The sequence below is a fragment of the Homo sapiens genome, chromosome 3, assembly GCF_000001405.40.
Source record: "Homo sapiens chromosome 3, GRCh38.p14 Primary Assembly".
NCBI lineage: Eukaryota > Metazoa > Chordata > Mammalia > Primates > Hominidae > Homo > Homo sapiens.
This window is the reverse complement of record NC_000003.12, coordinates 78,647,730-78,662,512: the sequence shown is the minus strand read 5'-3', so window position 1 is coordinate 78,662,512 and position 14,783 is coordinate 78,647,730. Positions and strand designations below refer to the sequence as shown.

The following is a 14,783-nucleotide window of genomic DNA, read 5'->3' as shown; positions in this document are numbered from 1 at the left end:
CTCTTTTCTGTCTTGCATAGTTAGGATCACTACAGAAGGTTTTCACAAACTCAGGGAATTGCCCTAGTGCCCTCATTTTCATCAGGAAAGTGATCGTTACATGATAGGAGGAGCCACTAAATGTTGTTATTTGCCATTGTTGTCTTTGCTTCCTGCTCTTTTTGCCTTTCTATAATATATGTCCTCTGCGTTCTCTCTACTCTCTCTATCCCCTCTTACTTTCCTGATCCTAATAAAAAGGTTAAATTATTCCTTTTTTTTTTTTTTTCCGAATCACAGCCTGGCTTGGACTCTTCTTTACTGAGAGTTGCTATGAATGAACAGTTTGTTTCACCATGCTTTCATTCCGTTCAGTAACGTTGTGCAGACCCTGACACAGTTTTCTTGACTTGTTGTAGATGTCCTACCAACAAGTCAGGGGGTGGACCACAAGCAGGTCCAGAGAGAGCTGGGAAATGCTGTTCTGCACCTCCACAACCCCACCGTCCTTTCTTCCTCTTCCATCGAAGTGCACTGGACAGTGAGTTGTTACAATATTTGATCTCAGTTTTAATAAGCGTCTGCGAGATCATTGCAATGCATATAAAATGTAACTATCTGTTGCCTACTTGTACATTAATGATAACTTTATAGTGTAAGCACTGTTTATTACAGTAGCTATTAGTTTGGTTTAAACAGAAAAACATTGCATCTTGAGCCTATTTTTTTCCTATTGTGCTGCAGTAGTGAACTTGACCTGTCTCAGGAAAGAAACAGATAGTATTAACTGTGTTATGTAACTTGTGATAGGATCATTATTACATGAATCTTTTAAACTTAGAAATATTTCCAAGTAGTATTAAGTAGGCTTTTAAAATCAGAAAATCATCAAACATTTTAGCTTCTCATCCCCTTGACCCAGGGATGTCCTACATGCAATGTCAGAGCTGCCATCAGGCCTCACATTTCTGCATGAAGCATAGAAGTTAATGCCACCGAAATTTTTATCAAAAGATAGTGGAATTTTTTCAGTATTCTACTTATTTGAATGTTTTAGCTGAAGATTCTTTTGGATTTTCTATGAGCACACTCATGTTGTCCACAAATAATGATTTTTATTTTTTCCTTTCTAATTCTTACACATTTCTTGTGTAAGAATGTGGGATGAAGCCAGACAGAATTTTGTGCATTTTATAACGTTTAATTTTTATTATTTTCTGATGAACCAATACAATAATATGAATAATTACATTTTACTTGTCTTTTTAATAGGTAGATCAACAGTCTCAGTATATACAAGGATATAAAATTCTCTATCGGCCATCTGGAGCCAACCACGGAGAATCAGACTGGTTAGTTTTTGAAGTGAGGACGCCAGCCAAAAACAGTGTGGTAATCCCTGATCTCAGAAAGGGAGTCAACTATGAAATTAAGGCTCGCCCTTTTTTTAATGAATTTCAAGGAGCAGATAGTGAAATCAAGTTTGCCAAAACCCTGGAAGAAGGCAAGTATGATGAAGCGTTTGATTTCCATGCATTGCAGTATATTTGTTAGAATTTTATTAGCTTAATTTAAATTGTTATAATGTTAATAGTGGCATTAATTACTAACTTTCTTGATATTGAACATACATTTTGCTAACAGTATTTGTTTATTTAGAAAACTAGAAAAGCAAAATGCTATAATAGTTGACTTGCTTCAATAGTGGCCTACCTCAAATGTGTAAATGTGAACATTATATTACTTAATGGCATATAGAAATTTAATTATTCAGAACTAAAATTCACATTTAAAAATGAAATTGTTTTCCGTTTGGTTTATTTTCCATTCAGCATTTTCTATTTGTTTATTTTGATCCATGATTTGAATAATGTGTTGATTTGCCCAGGACTTCGTGGGATTAGCATTTTCTTCCTAAATCTCATCTCTTTTAAAACACCTCAGTTCTAGACAAATCACTATAGCTGACCACCCTATTCCTAGAAATTAAACAATATTTACATAAAGGTAAAAGATTACATTAACTAACAACAGGATTTTTCCCAACATGTCTTTGTCACTTTGGCTGTATAAGTAATTATCATGAATGATTAATATTCATTTTCATACTTTTGAACATTTCGGGGGAGAACATGAGACTAGAGTTACACGGTAGAAGAAATAGGAATTGTCCTGGGATGTTTGGTGGAAACAAGGTATTTAACTTTGGTTATGGAAAATTCACCGTGGCAGTGAATTAGCATTGAGTGAGGAACAACTTAGGTAGTTTGGGACTATTCAGACTTGGATGAGATACATCTTTAAAACATATGCAGCTGGGCACAGTGGCTCACGCCTGTAACCCCAGCACTTTAGGAGGCTGAGGCGGGCGGATCACCTGAAGTCACGAGTTCGAGACCAGCCTGGCCAAGGCGGTGAAACCCCATCTCTATTAAAAATACAAAAATTAGTGGGGCATGGTGGTGGGTGCCTGTAATCCCAGCTACTCAGGGGGCTGAGGCAGGAGAATCGCTTGAACCCGGGAGGGGGAGGTTGCAGTGAGCCGAGATCATGTCACAGCACTACAGCCTAGATGACAGAGCGAGCCTCCGTCTCAAAAAAAAAAAAAAAAAAAAGCATATATTGATATAGTATTAATACATCTATTATTGGGTTTGATATTAATTACCTGCTTTCAGTGTTCTCTAGCACATTCTAATAACCTACCTTTTAAAACAATTTAATAGCACCCAGTGCCCCACCCCAAGGTGTAACTGTATCCAAGAATGATGGAAACGGAACTGCAATTCTAGTTAGTTGGCAGCCACCTCCAGAAGACACTCAAAATGGAATGGTCCAAGAGTATAAGGTATGAGTATAATATATATATATATTAATGTCCTGATGGGCAGCCCCCACCATTCATAAAGAAAAAGCAGGCTGGTATTTGTTTATGGATATTTGGCGCCATCTGCTGGTCCAAATAGCAACATGTAAAATTATTTTTAAAACGCTTTCTTGTTTATTCAGTGATTTTGAAATTCTGATTCAGGTGGTCTGACAGGGGCCCTTGCACATATATCTTGGTGAATCTTTTGGCGATTCTGATGTGCATCCTTAGTTAAGGCCCAAATAAGACTATACATGTTCTTCTGAGGAGCAAATTAATCTGTACGGTAACCAAGTATCCTGAGCAGAATTTTAAGTTTATTTTATTTTCAAAAGATTTTTAAAAACAAATTGAGAAACCTCTTTATGAAATTTGTGTATATGAACAGTGTATTTTTTAAAGTATTTAAAAGACTGCCATAAGTGCACTGTGGATGTTTTAAGATATTTCAAGTAAGATTTTCTAGATAATTGAGGCATTAAAAGGTAAAAGTCTCTGTACTTTTAAGTGTTTTCTTAAGAGTTTCAAGGCTGTCTCAATACTGAGGAGTGACAGGATACTATGTGTTAGTCTAGAAAAATAGAATGTTATAGAAGATTTTTAAGGATTTAAAATGGGTGATGTCTCAGCTCTCAAGCTAAATTGTGGAATGTAGGCATTTTCCCCTAAGAGTCAGAACTCATTTCTCTCCTGAAGAAATGCAAAAGGGTGGATTTCACGTAACTTCATGGTCAATTTAAAATAATAAAATGCCTTTCAGAACCTGATTGACTGGTACAAAATCAGTTTGTGGCTTTGGTTCAGCTGTATAATGTAAATGGGATTTTTAAAAAAATCACAAAAGAGTCTTAATTTCCAAATGGTCAGCTCCTGGTATAGGGTCTGAGCATTTCTTGGTGTTATGTATTGAAACTATATTAAAATAATATTAACTTTCAAAGAAAATATAAAAAGATAAATGATGGAAGAGACTAGGCTTAGATTTCTTTTAAATCTCACTTCCTATTAGAGTTTAGACAATTGTCTACTTAAAGTTAATGGTATATATTGCTTGAGAACATCATAAGGAATATAGAGTATGTCAGTTGGGCGCTGTGGCTCACGCCTGTAATCCCAGCACTTTGAGAGGCCGAGGCAGGCAGATCATCTGAGGTCAGGCCGGCCTGGCCAACACAGTGAAAGCCCGTCTCTACTAAAAATACAAAAATTAGCTGAGTGTGGTGGTGCACACCTTTAATCCCAGCTACTCAGGAGGCTGAGGCAGGAGAATCACTGGAACCCGGGAGGTGGAGGCTGCAGTGAGCCAAGATTGCACCACTACACTGCAGCCTGAGCCACAGAGCAAGACTCCATCTCTAATGATAATAATTAATAATAATGAGCATGTTTTTCTATAGATCATTTTCTTATGGAAACTGAGCTTGAACATTGTCGTGCACCATATCCAAGTTCTTAAACATCGCAGAAGATCACTCACTGATGAATCTGTTAGTGAAATTTAAAACAAGGATTATAGAATAGTTTGAAAATCTCAATTTCTTGAGAATAGTTTTGTATCACAAATATTATTAGCCAAGTTAATCAGGTAACTCTTTGTTATTAGAAGAATGCTTTTTTCACATCAAATATGTATTGCTATTCTTTATGTTCTCATGTATGCTGTGAAGGACTGATAGTCCCATTTAAATAGAAGAGCAGAGGGCAAATTGTCTCTCATTGATAATATAGTTCAGTGTACCAGAGGTTGAATAAAATCCTGAGATGAGGCTCACTCCTTGTGTGCAGTTTTATTTTTAATAATCATATTTGTGCAAACTACTTTAGAGTATTCAGAAGCTCTCCTTCCTTTTCAATCAACTACTCCTTGTAAAATGTGATGTTCCAGTGCCCATGCCAGGCAGGTTGATCCCAGAGAACTGTTGAAGTACGAGGCTTGGCGTTTCCTACTCATTTTTGTTTTACAATATCTGGTCATCTGGGTCATGCCTAGAATGCAAATGTTGAATGAGTATTATTCTTGATCTGCATAGACACAGCTATCTGCAAGGTACTTATTTAGCTGGCAGATAATGTGTTGGTGTTAAAAAGAAATCTAAATGAAGTGGGCTGATAGAAACTACTACCTTCAAGCACAGATTTGTAGACTTACCTGATAGAACCTTTTAAAAGTATATGAGAAAGTAATAAAGATGCCTTGAAACTACTTTTAACGTTAAACTTGACCAGAAGATTGTTCATAGAACTAGATTTTAGGGAAAAAATGACTTTGGAAACTTCTTATGGTAGTGCATGACAGTTTAGTACTCTGTCTGGGTCTAAAACTGCAACCCTGTGTTGATCTTTGCATTCATTTAGGTAATTTACCAGCTTGATTTTTGTGATGTGCTTCTTACAGGTTTGGTGTCTGGGCAATGAAACTCGATACCACATCAACAAAACAGTGGATGGTTCCACCTTTTCCGTGGTCATTCCCTTTCTTGTTCCTGGAATCCGATACAGTGTGGAAGTGGCAGCCAGCACTGGGGCTGGGTCTGGGGTAAAGAGTGAGCCTCAGTTCATCCAGCTGGGTGAGTGTCAGTGCAGATCCAGTTTGACAATCTCTCACTCTACCATGTGTCCCACTTTGCTTTTTTGCATGTGGCTGAGCCACCCACCATTGCTAATTTAATAGAATATGGAATATGGCTTAGAGCTACAAAAAGGTGTTAGCTTTACTTAATATGTAGGAGAGAGAAAGAGAGAGAGAGAGAAAGAGAGAGAGAGAGAGACAGACTAGATGTAGATATATGGACGTAGATATCTCAACTAAACTTGAACATATCTAAGCACACATTTTTGATATTTCAGGCAAAAGGTTGTCAATATTCAATGTTATCCTAATCCTGTCCTATATAATTTTTTTATCTATTCAACAAATGCTATTAATTGAGCACCAAGGATACCTCCGTGAACATGAAAGACAGTCTGCACCTTCATGGAACTCACAGTTGCTTGGATTTAAGATCAAACAAATAGGCCAGGTGCGGTGGCTCATGCCTGTAATCCCAACACTCTGGGAGGCCGAGGCAGGCAAATCACGAGGTCAGGAGATCGAGACCATCCTGGCTAACATGGTGAAACCCCGTCTCTACTAAAAATACAAAAAAACTAGCTGGGTGTGGTGGCGGGCGCCTGTAGTCCCAGCTACTTAGGAGGCTGAGGCAGGAGAATGGCGTGAACCTGGGAGGCGGAGCTTGCAGTGAGTCGAGATTACACCACTGCACTCCAGCCTGGGCGACAGAGTGAGACTCCCTATCAAAAAAAAAAAAAAAAAAAAAAATCAAATAAGCAAACTTCAATTTAAAACTTAAACCAGGTATTAGAAGTTTATAGCAACGACCAATTTATATTCACAGGTAGTGTCTATTTAAAATTGTAATTGTTTATTATAACAAAAGGTAGATTGAGATGTCAAAGAGTATTGGAATATGTTTATATGCTGATTGCTTAGAAAGTTAAACACAATTTGTGCCTCAAACGTGGTTAGATGAATTAAAAAAAAAACTAACATCAAAAGCTTCATTACCACAATTCACTCTGGGCAATATGGCATGAACATAAAGTACAAATTAGTAAGTGCATGCTAGTAAAATCTAAAACAAACAATAACAAAACAATGACAAAATACCATTGTAACTGAAAAGCAAGAAGAAAGGTTCAAATATTAAGAAGCTACATGTAAATTATGAATGATGCCAAGAAGCATATAGCACCTTTATGTTTTTGTCTTCCAGATCAGAAGTTAAGCATTAGTAGTATTTTATTACTAGCGAAATATTAGTATATGTTATTAATATTACAATCAGTTGTTAAATCATCAAAAAGGATCAGATGTATGAAGCTTTGTAATTCACAATTACATACTAGTTTTGCATGTTAATAATATTGGTGACATCCTGGAAATTATTTCAAAACAAAATTAAGAAACACCTGGTTTTCATAAACTTCATTGCTATACATAAAGAACTTCACATTTATTTTGAAGAATATTATTGATGTTCCATTGTTTAGACAATGTGAGTTGCGGTAATAGATACACTTGCAGAATTTCTGTCCTATAAGACAATAACGTCTACCAAAGTCCACTTGTGGGGTGGGGACTCTGTTCCACACACACATTGAGGATCATAGGCGGATGGGTTAGCCTCTTTATCATGGGGCTTCTGAAGTGGACCCTGGGCCTGTAGCAGGGGGAGGAAAGAAACACATCGTCTATGGGAATGTTCAGTGGTACAGGTCTAGACATGGTACACATCACTACTCCCAGTGTGACTGCAAGCAAATGAATGGGGTAACCTCAAAACTAAGTCACTGGCTAGGAAGGCTCCTCCCAACAGCTCTATTATATGAGAGTCCCATTCAAGCTTTTAGGGAAAAACTTGCTGTCTCTATCATAGCCATAGGCTAAAATTTGATTTTTGCACTCATGTTACCACTAAAGAACTTATCCATATAACTAAAAACATCCTGTTCTCCAAAAACTATGAAAATATTTTTTTTAAAAAAAACCAATGATTATATATAGAAATAAAACTTTTAAACAAAAATAGCTCCTGGTTTGTTTCAAGCAACACAAGAAACTGTAAGAAAATAAGTTGCTTGATGCATCTGTTGAACGTTTATATGAGATGTGGAGGAAAACAGTTTATATTGAGAAAATAGTTGATAGTCAAATATTTGCCCAATTTTATTAAATTTCAATATTAATTTATGAACATTGAAATAAGTTAACACTGTGATGACTCTATATATTGTTGTTGTTTACCTATTTTTATGACTGAAGATTATTTAGTTCTGTTTTTTGGAAGATAAATTGGGAAAATGACTATGTATAATTTTATTTATTTAAGATTGAAACCATGGGGGCTTTAGGGCCAAATTGGTTTCCTTGAAATTACAAATGAGTTCCATTTTTCCATATCTTAATATAGGCTCAGCTGCAGTGAGACAAAGACTGAGCTAGCGAGTGGCTGTTTTAATTCATTAGTCATACCACACTTGAGTCTGTTAAGTCCATCTGGTTGCTTGCATAGGACCTCTCTTGGCTGTTTCCATATTATCTGAGGCTACCCATCTTAACCTTGCACAAATAGCCATGAAATCTATAAACCTAGCAGATACAAAGAATGTATTAGGGATAAGAAGAATAGGTCTGCTCGGTGAACTTTAAGAGGATGAAGTGCTTAGGATAACCAGAGGTAATAAAAGAGTCTGGAACATGAAATAAAACTTTCATTCAACAAACAGAGAAAGGCAGGTAACTGCTTATGAAAATAGGTTTTTCAGCCTTGACCCTCTATAGAATGAGATCTGGAATTCTGTTAAAGAACAAAGCAAACTGAAAAACCACACACACTCATACAACATGAGAAGGAATTTAGCCATTTTGCATTGAAAGGGGTGCTGTTTTCCTGAAGGCTGTTTTCTTCATCATTGAACGTTGCTTATTTTTCCTTCCAGTTTTCTTATCAAGATGCAATGTCATTTAATAAGAGAAAAATCCATTGAAAGAAGAATCCATAAAAAATGTTATTCATATGTAATGAGTTATACCAATTATCTTTATGGAAAAAAATGTATTTTTGGATTGAAAAATCTTTCTATCTTAAAGCAGATTGTATTAGCAGAATTGTTGTATTTCTTTCTAGTTTGGTCTTAAAGTCTCTCTTTGCACAGTGGCTATAAACTCTAGTCCTGCCCTGACGGGGCTTTGGAGAATTTGGTTGTGGGTGTTCACTTTGTGCCTTTCACAGGATGCTTTTTAATCCTGGCAGACAGCATAACACCTGTGTTCAACCCATGACCAGGTGTCCCTCACACAGGAAACTAGTTTATACTGGCAGACGCCCCTGTGGCTCTTATCTGACCTGCGTCCAGCTTATTCCTGTCAACATGCCCCCTCCTAGGAGAGCCTTGACTGGGAGGAAGGTTAAAACCTCCCAGTGTGTTGCTTAGATGAGACTCAGAGGAGGCAACACAACAAAAACACGTGAAATAACGGAAGCAGTTTATTACTCACAGACCCATGAGACAGAGGGAGTGCCGACAAGGGCAGATGAGAAGGCCACCAGGGCAATTTGCTCAACCAGCAGGTGGGAATCCAGGTGGGGAAGACCTAGGCTCTGAGGACTTTTTGCTGTTGAAGGTATTACCCAGGCAGGTTTCCTTTGGGGAGTTCCTACTGGTGGGTTCTTAGAGCAAATGGCACAAGTTCCAGGAGGTCACATTCTGTCTGAGAATGGTCACTGGCATATCTGCACAGTCCATGAGGGGTGTGGGGTCACTGGGGTGAGTCAAGTAAGTTGTATCTACATATCCCACAGGGAGGTGGCCACCGTAAGTCAGTCATGTAAGGCAGATGTCTGGATTGACCATGTTGAGGAACTGGAGGGAGGCAGGGAACTGGAGGGAGGCAGGGAACTGGAAATTGTCAAGGGTGTCAAAACCCAGATTCTGCTATGAGAAGGTTAAACTTAGATTCAAAATCAATGCTGAGGCCAAATGAAATTATAAGAACTCATGACGACAATATGTATCAGACTCAAATGATTTAATAATTGTAAGAAAGCACCAATCCTAATGAAATGGGCCAACACCTTCTTGTTTCACCAGATGTGGTGGGGGAAGAACATCAAAATTGCAGACAGAGGTGGGAATTCTGCACAGTGGGCACCCTCAGGGTTGATATCACTCAATGCCAACAGAATTGGATATTGCTTTGATGATACAGCCTCCAGTTCTCTACAGCAACTTTGCAGGCCCCTTGTGTGGCTGGGTGTTATGGTGGGCTTGAAAAAAACTCAGTAGACTTAAAACATAAATGTAAACTAAGTTAATTTTATTACCCATATATTCATCAATTTTTAAATAATGAATCAAAATGGCCAGCAGAAAACATGAGCCCTTTTGACTATTCATAACCCTTGATATTATAATTCTTTTACATATTTAACATTATTTTATCTGTTGCTCGCCATGATTATTATTTTAATGCAGAGATTATTCATGGCTCTTTCAATGGTAACATTATCTGAATATTTCATTGGGTTTTACTGATCCTGAATTGTGTAGGTCTTTCTGAGCTTACATTAAGTAATGTGTTTCTAAGACAATGAAATGTCTTACAATATAATGTTAGTGTCGGGGTACACACACACATGCACACACATAGAGACTTTTCCATATCTAGCTTAGAGAAGAAATAAAATTTTATTTCTTTTTTTTTAGAACATACTATTTAAGCATGCCTGTAGAAGTCTGAGAAAGTTTATTGTCCGTGAATACTTATTAAATATTCCTTATGTGTACATGTATTATTTGTGTGTGTATTAAAGTACTTCATTCTTTAGTGTTATGTTTTTGTATTTTTCTCAGTTAGCACTGTCCTGTGAGACTTAATCTAAGAAGTAACCTGCAAACCTCTTTGGTTCGAAAAGAGAAGCAGTGTGCCATTGCTTTTGTTTTTAAGCATGATTCTATACAATTGTCACACTTGCTTTGAGTTGAAAGAAATAAATAAAATTGTCCAATTTTGCTGAAAACAGTATGAACTATTTTATTTGATGATGGTGAGTGGTGTGAGAGGAAAAACAGAAATCATTATCCAGAAATTAACAAAGTAATGGCAGCCACAAATGAGTGCGTGCATTATTGCATTGAGTCTTCAACCCAAATTAATCGGAAGATGACTTTTCAGATGCCCATGGAAACCCTGTGTCACCTGAGGACCAAGTCAGCCTCGCTCAGCAGATTTCAGATGTGGTGAAGCAGCCGGCCTTCATAGCAGGTATTGGAGCAGCCTGTTGGATCATCCTCATGGTCTTCAGCATCTGGCTTTATCGACACCGCAAGAAGAGAAACGGACTTACTAGTACCTACGCGGGTATCAGAAAAGGTATTAGCTTTCCCAAGGTTTTCATATTTTAATGTTTATAAAACTCTTGATTTTAATATTTGATTCCAAATTATTCATGATTATGCATATCCTCTAAAACTTGTTTTAATATATAAAGATTTTCAAAAGTGCGTTTATTGTGCTGCGGTATCCACATATTAACTTCTCTTACATAGCAGAACTACAAATAGAGTTTATTAGTTTCTTAGGGCTCAGTTCCTTTAAAATAGATTTCACCAAGGTAGGTCTACCTTTGGCTGTTATACCTTTTCCCTTTTCTCTTAGGGAATTATTTTATTGCTTTATATTCTTGAAGGAAATTTTTAATGTTCTTGTTATTGGAATTATAAACGCAACCTTTGAACAGTCTCACATGGTTTCAGGGGAGACATTGTTACCCTTTGTGAAGCAAAATAGAAAATACTGCCGTTTGATTATTTATAAAATACTCCTTTCTTGGTGAATATGGAAGGCCTGACTGAGTGATGTACTGTTGCTTACAGAGAGAAGAGGGTTAGTCCCTTTTTATTATTATAAAGTTGCAAAATGGAATATGTGTATGCTGTTACTTAGTGATGGTGATTTTGTTACGAATGTGTTTACAGTTTTAAAAAAGACAGCTTACATGGCCACTATTATTATTTACAATTTTAAAGATGACCCAAATATGCCAAGATTTTCACATACTTTTGCTACTTATCCTTAAACTCTGAAGACTGCTGATATTTTTGTGTTTTTTATTCTCAAAGGAAATTGTTAACAGTGTCAGACAGATGATCCTCCATGCCCCTTAGATACCTTCATCAATTCTGGGCCTCAGATCTGGGCTGTAGATTAGGTTAGATGGTTGTAAGTCCCAGTTTTCAGAGACACCCCAGTTTATGTCATTAGTCCAACAAGATCAATTCTAGTACCCCTTCTTGCTCTCAAAATTGTACTGACTTAAATGGCAGATTATACAAATTATAGGGCCCATCCTTCAGTCGAATGCAACAGCTTTGCTTTGCTGCAAAGCAAATTTAAAGAGGATTTCCAATTTAAAAAAGTCTCCTACCCTACCATCACCAACTTTTTCCCACGAATTTTCTACATAAGTGAACATTTCTTACATGTGTTGGCCAGATTGTTTCTCTGACCAATTATATGACAAAGTCAGAATTTTTCATGTTAGCTAGAACTTGAATGTCCCTATGCATAGACCAAAACAGTATGGGACAGCAGTCTAAAATATTTGTGTTGTCCGTCACAAGGGGACTTAGCAAGAGTCAACACAAATGCATCACTAATACTATAAAAATAAATCTCCTTGCCGCCTGCCTGTGGCTCAGCAGCAATCTCTTCATGTACATGCATTTGCTTTAGCATTATCATCCTTAAATATGTTTTTTTCAGATATGTGTCCTCTCTAGGGATGAAGCAGTATGTCAATATTCCCGCCTGTGAAATGGAAAATGAGGGCTTGGAGGTTACTGAAAAGAGAACTGGTGCTCATTATGTATACAAAGTAGAAGAATGTCAGGCACATGCTACCATATAAAACCTTTGACTGAAAATAATTGTAGACAAGGGGTTTTGGGTGTCTTTGTGTGGTGGAGTGGGGAAGGGGTAGGGTGTTTGGGGTAGAAGATGTTTGGATTTGAATGAGGAAAAGAGTGACTAATTAACATATAGATGTGGAGTCTCTTGAATTCTTCATCAAAAGACCTCCATCATGAACTCTGTTTTGCAAATAGCCAGTCAGTGGAATCCTGTGTTTCTTATGAAGTGCCATAGCTACGTGATTATAATAATTTAATGGTCTACATTGTCTTGAACTCTAAAAATGTGACATGCAACTCTCCTTCCTACTGAAATGTTTCTTTTTCTTTACTAACGTACTTTGAGCATGCCAACAAATGCCTATGTGCTCTTTGTGCAAAACCTATTAAACTAATACCATTGCCCTTTCAACTTAGCTTGTGTTTAAGCAGAAATCATAGAACATAATTACAAATGTAATTTGATGAGCATTTGATTCTGCTTTCTTCACTTTGTCCTGTTGGCACATTTTCATAATTTTGTTTCTAGGCAATTTTTAAGTGCATTTTGAGATCTTAAATTTTCTATACCAAAGTCAATGCCAGTAATTTTAAGAAAAAAAGAAAGTGAAATATTTTAAAGAATAAAAAATGTAAAAGAGCCTACTGACCTATAAAACATCAAGCCAGAGTGTAACTTCAGGGGAACAGTGAGCATATTTAACATTTCCCCCTTACATTTAGCTATCGGTGTGACATCTGCCAGTTCGCTGGGTACCCCCTGTCCACATGCATTCACATATTGCACCCGCATCACTTAGGGACCCAGAGAGTTTATTATATTATTGGAAGCTTTGAAAATTAAGTTGTTATTTCGTGTGCTAGCAGTGAAAATTTCATTTAGATTGACCTCCTTTTCATCTCTTCTTCAGTTCCTCAAAGTGGGGTTAGCAGTTAGCTAGGAGAAGTAATGACAAGGACCTTTCATATTTTCCCGGTGTCCTTGTGATTGCAAATTAATGTTCAGGCACTCCATTCTTGCTTGAATAGCTTTAGTTTCAAATGCACCTTTCATTTTTTTTTTTTTTTATGAAGACTTGTTACTATGGCTCTGAATTTTTGAATGTAGCTAAATTACATTGACTCTCTGAAAAGACCTGACTGAAAAAAAACACAATAGGATTCTTAAGACAGGGACTGCTGTGCTGCACACGAAGGCCAGGGTATAAATTGGGGACACAGCACTGAGGTTTTTGCTTTTCTTCTTTCTAGTATGCTCAGAGATAAAGTGGCTTGGTAAGAAGTGACAATTGTAGAGGACGCTATAGCGTTTCGGTTTGCAAACCCCAAATGCTCCGATTCTACAGTAAATTTCTTGGAGATGTTCAAATGTGAAATAGAAAATATAATTCTGGCAGTGTTTTGATACATGATAAGTAATCAATATTCTAGTTTGTTTCTACTAAAGATTATTTTAAAGAAACTTTAATCTTAGAGGGAATAACATATATTTCCTTGCTTTTTTTTTTTTTTAACCAGAGCAGCGTTTACTTTAATTTAACATGAAGAGATTGGAAATAAGTCAATCTCCTCCCTCTATGAAATGACATGGAAATTGCTCTGCCGTTATCCAACCCCCCAGGAATGGGAGAAGATAGGAAAAGTGGGGGAGGAATGGCTGCTACTTTTGAGGTCTGCGGTTCAATTTCAGGCATTATTGATTAGATTAAGATTTATAACTGCAGAGAGAGTGAAGGTTTTCAGAAGGGTGTTATTGTTCTATTGTTTAGCTTCTACTGTGGTATTAAAAGAATGTCCAGCCTACTTCTAGGAAGCTTCTAAAAGTAAACTCAAAGAAATTAAAATTTAAAACTCCAGTTTTTTCTGTCCATTCACAAGTTTTTATGATGATAAAAAATGTCAGTTATGTGATAAGATGTCAGGCATTTCCACTCAGTGAAATAGTTAAATTTTATGGTTCTCTTTTATTCAGTTCATCTTTTTCTTTCCTTTCCTTTACTTGTGTTGTGTTTGTTTGTTTGTTGTTTCTTCTTCCCCTTTCCTTGCCTTTCCTTCTTTTCCTTCTTTCTCTCTTTTTTTTCTCTCAATGTTAAGTACATAAGTGCACCTAGTAGTTCACTTTAATAAGCATTTACTTTCAGATTTCTAGATAAGGTTCCAGCAAGACTCTGATAATACTTATTTAAGAATCCATCATCCTGTGTTTGGAGATGATTAATAGTGGAGGATTCTTGTTTGTACGAAAGCCACGAGCTAAATCTGTGTTACTAAATGCAGGGTCATTCACAGGCTAACCTAGCATAATTCCCTTCCTGAGTGTACTAGAATGTCAGACACTTCAAAATGGTACCTGTAGAGACAAGCTTCTTTTTTTAACCTCAGAATTGGTTTTATTCATAGATCAGATTGTCAGAACTACTGGCTTAGTTATTTACATTTGTTTTATGTTCAGCTGTCTGCTTGA

At 36.8% G+C, this 14,783-nt stretch overlaps 1 protein-coding gene across 18 annotated transcripts in view; it reads left to right on the top strand.

Annotated features, from left to right (window-relative positions):
- The window catches only part of ROBO1 (roundabout guidance receptor 1), a 1,170,760-nt gene that overhangs the window by 1,105,486 nt on the left and 50,491 nt on the right, over nt 1-14,783 (top strand). For all 18 annotated transcript variants that reach the window (XM_017006982.2, XM_047448664.1, XM_047448661.1 and 15 more), the window contains 5 exons: nt 399-520; nt 1,252-1,483; nt 2,706-2,827; nt 5,244-5,415; nt 10,584-10,781. In XM_017006982.2, the coding sequence (XP_016862471.1) occupies nt 399-520; nt 1,252-1,483; nt 2,706-2,827; nt 5,244-5,415; nt 10,584-10,781 (846 nt within the window). The remainder of the gene's footprint in view (nt 1-398; nt 521-1,251; nt 1,484-2,705; nt 2,828-5,243; nt 5,416-10,583; nt 10,782-14,783) is intronic.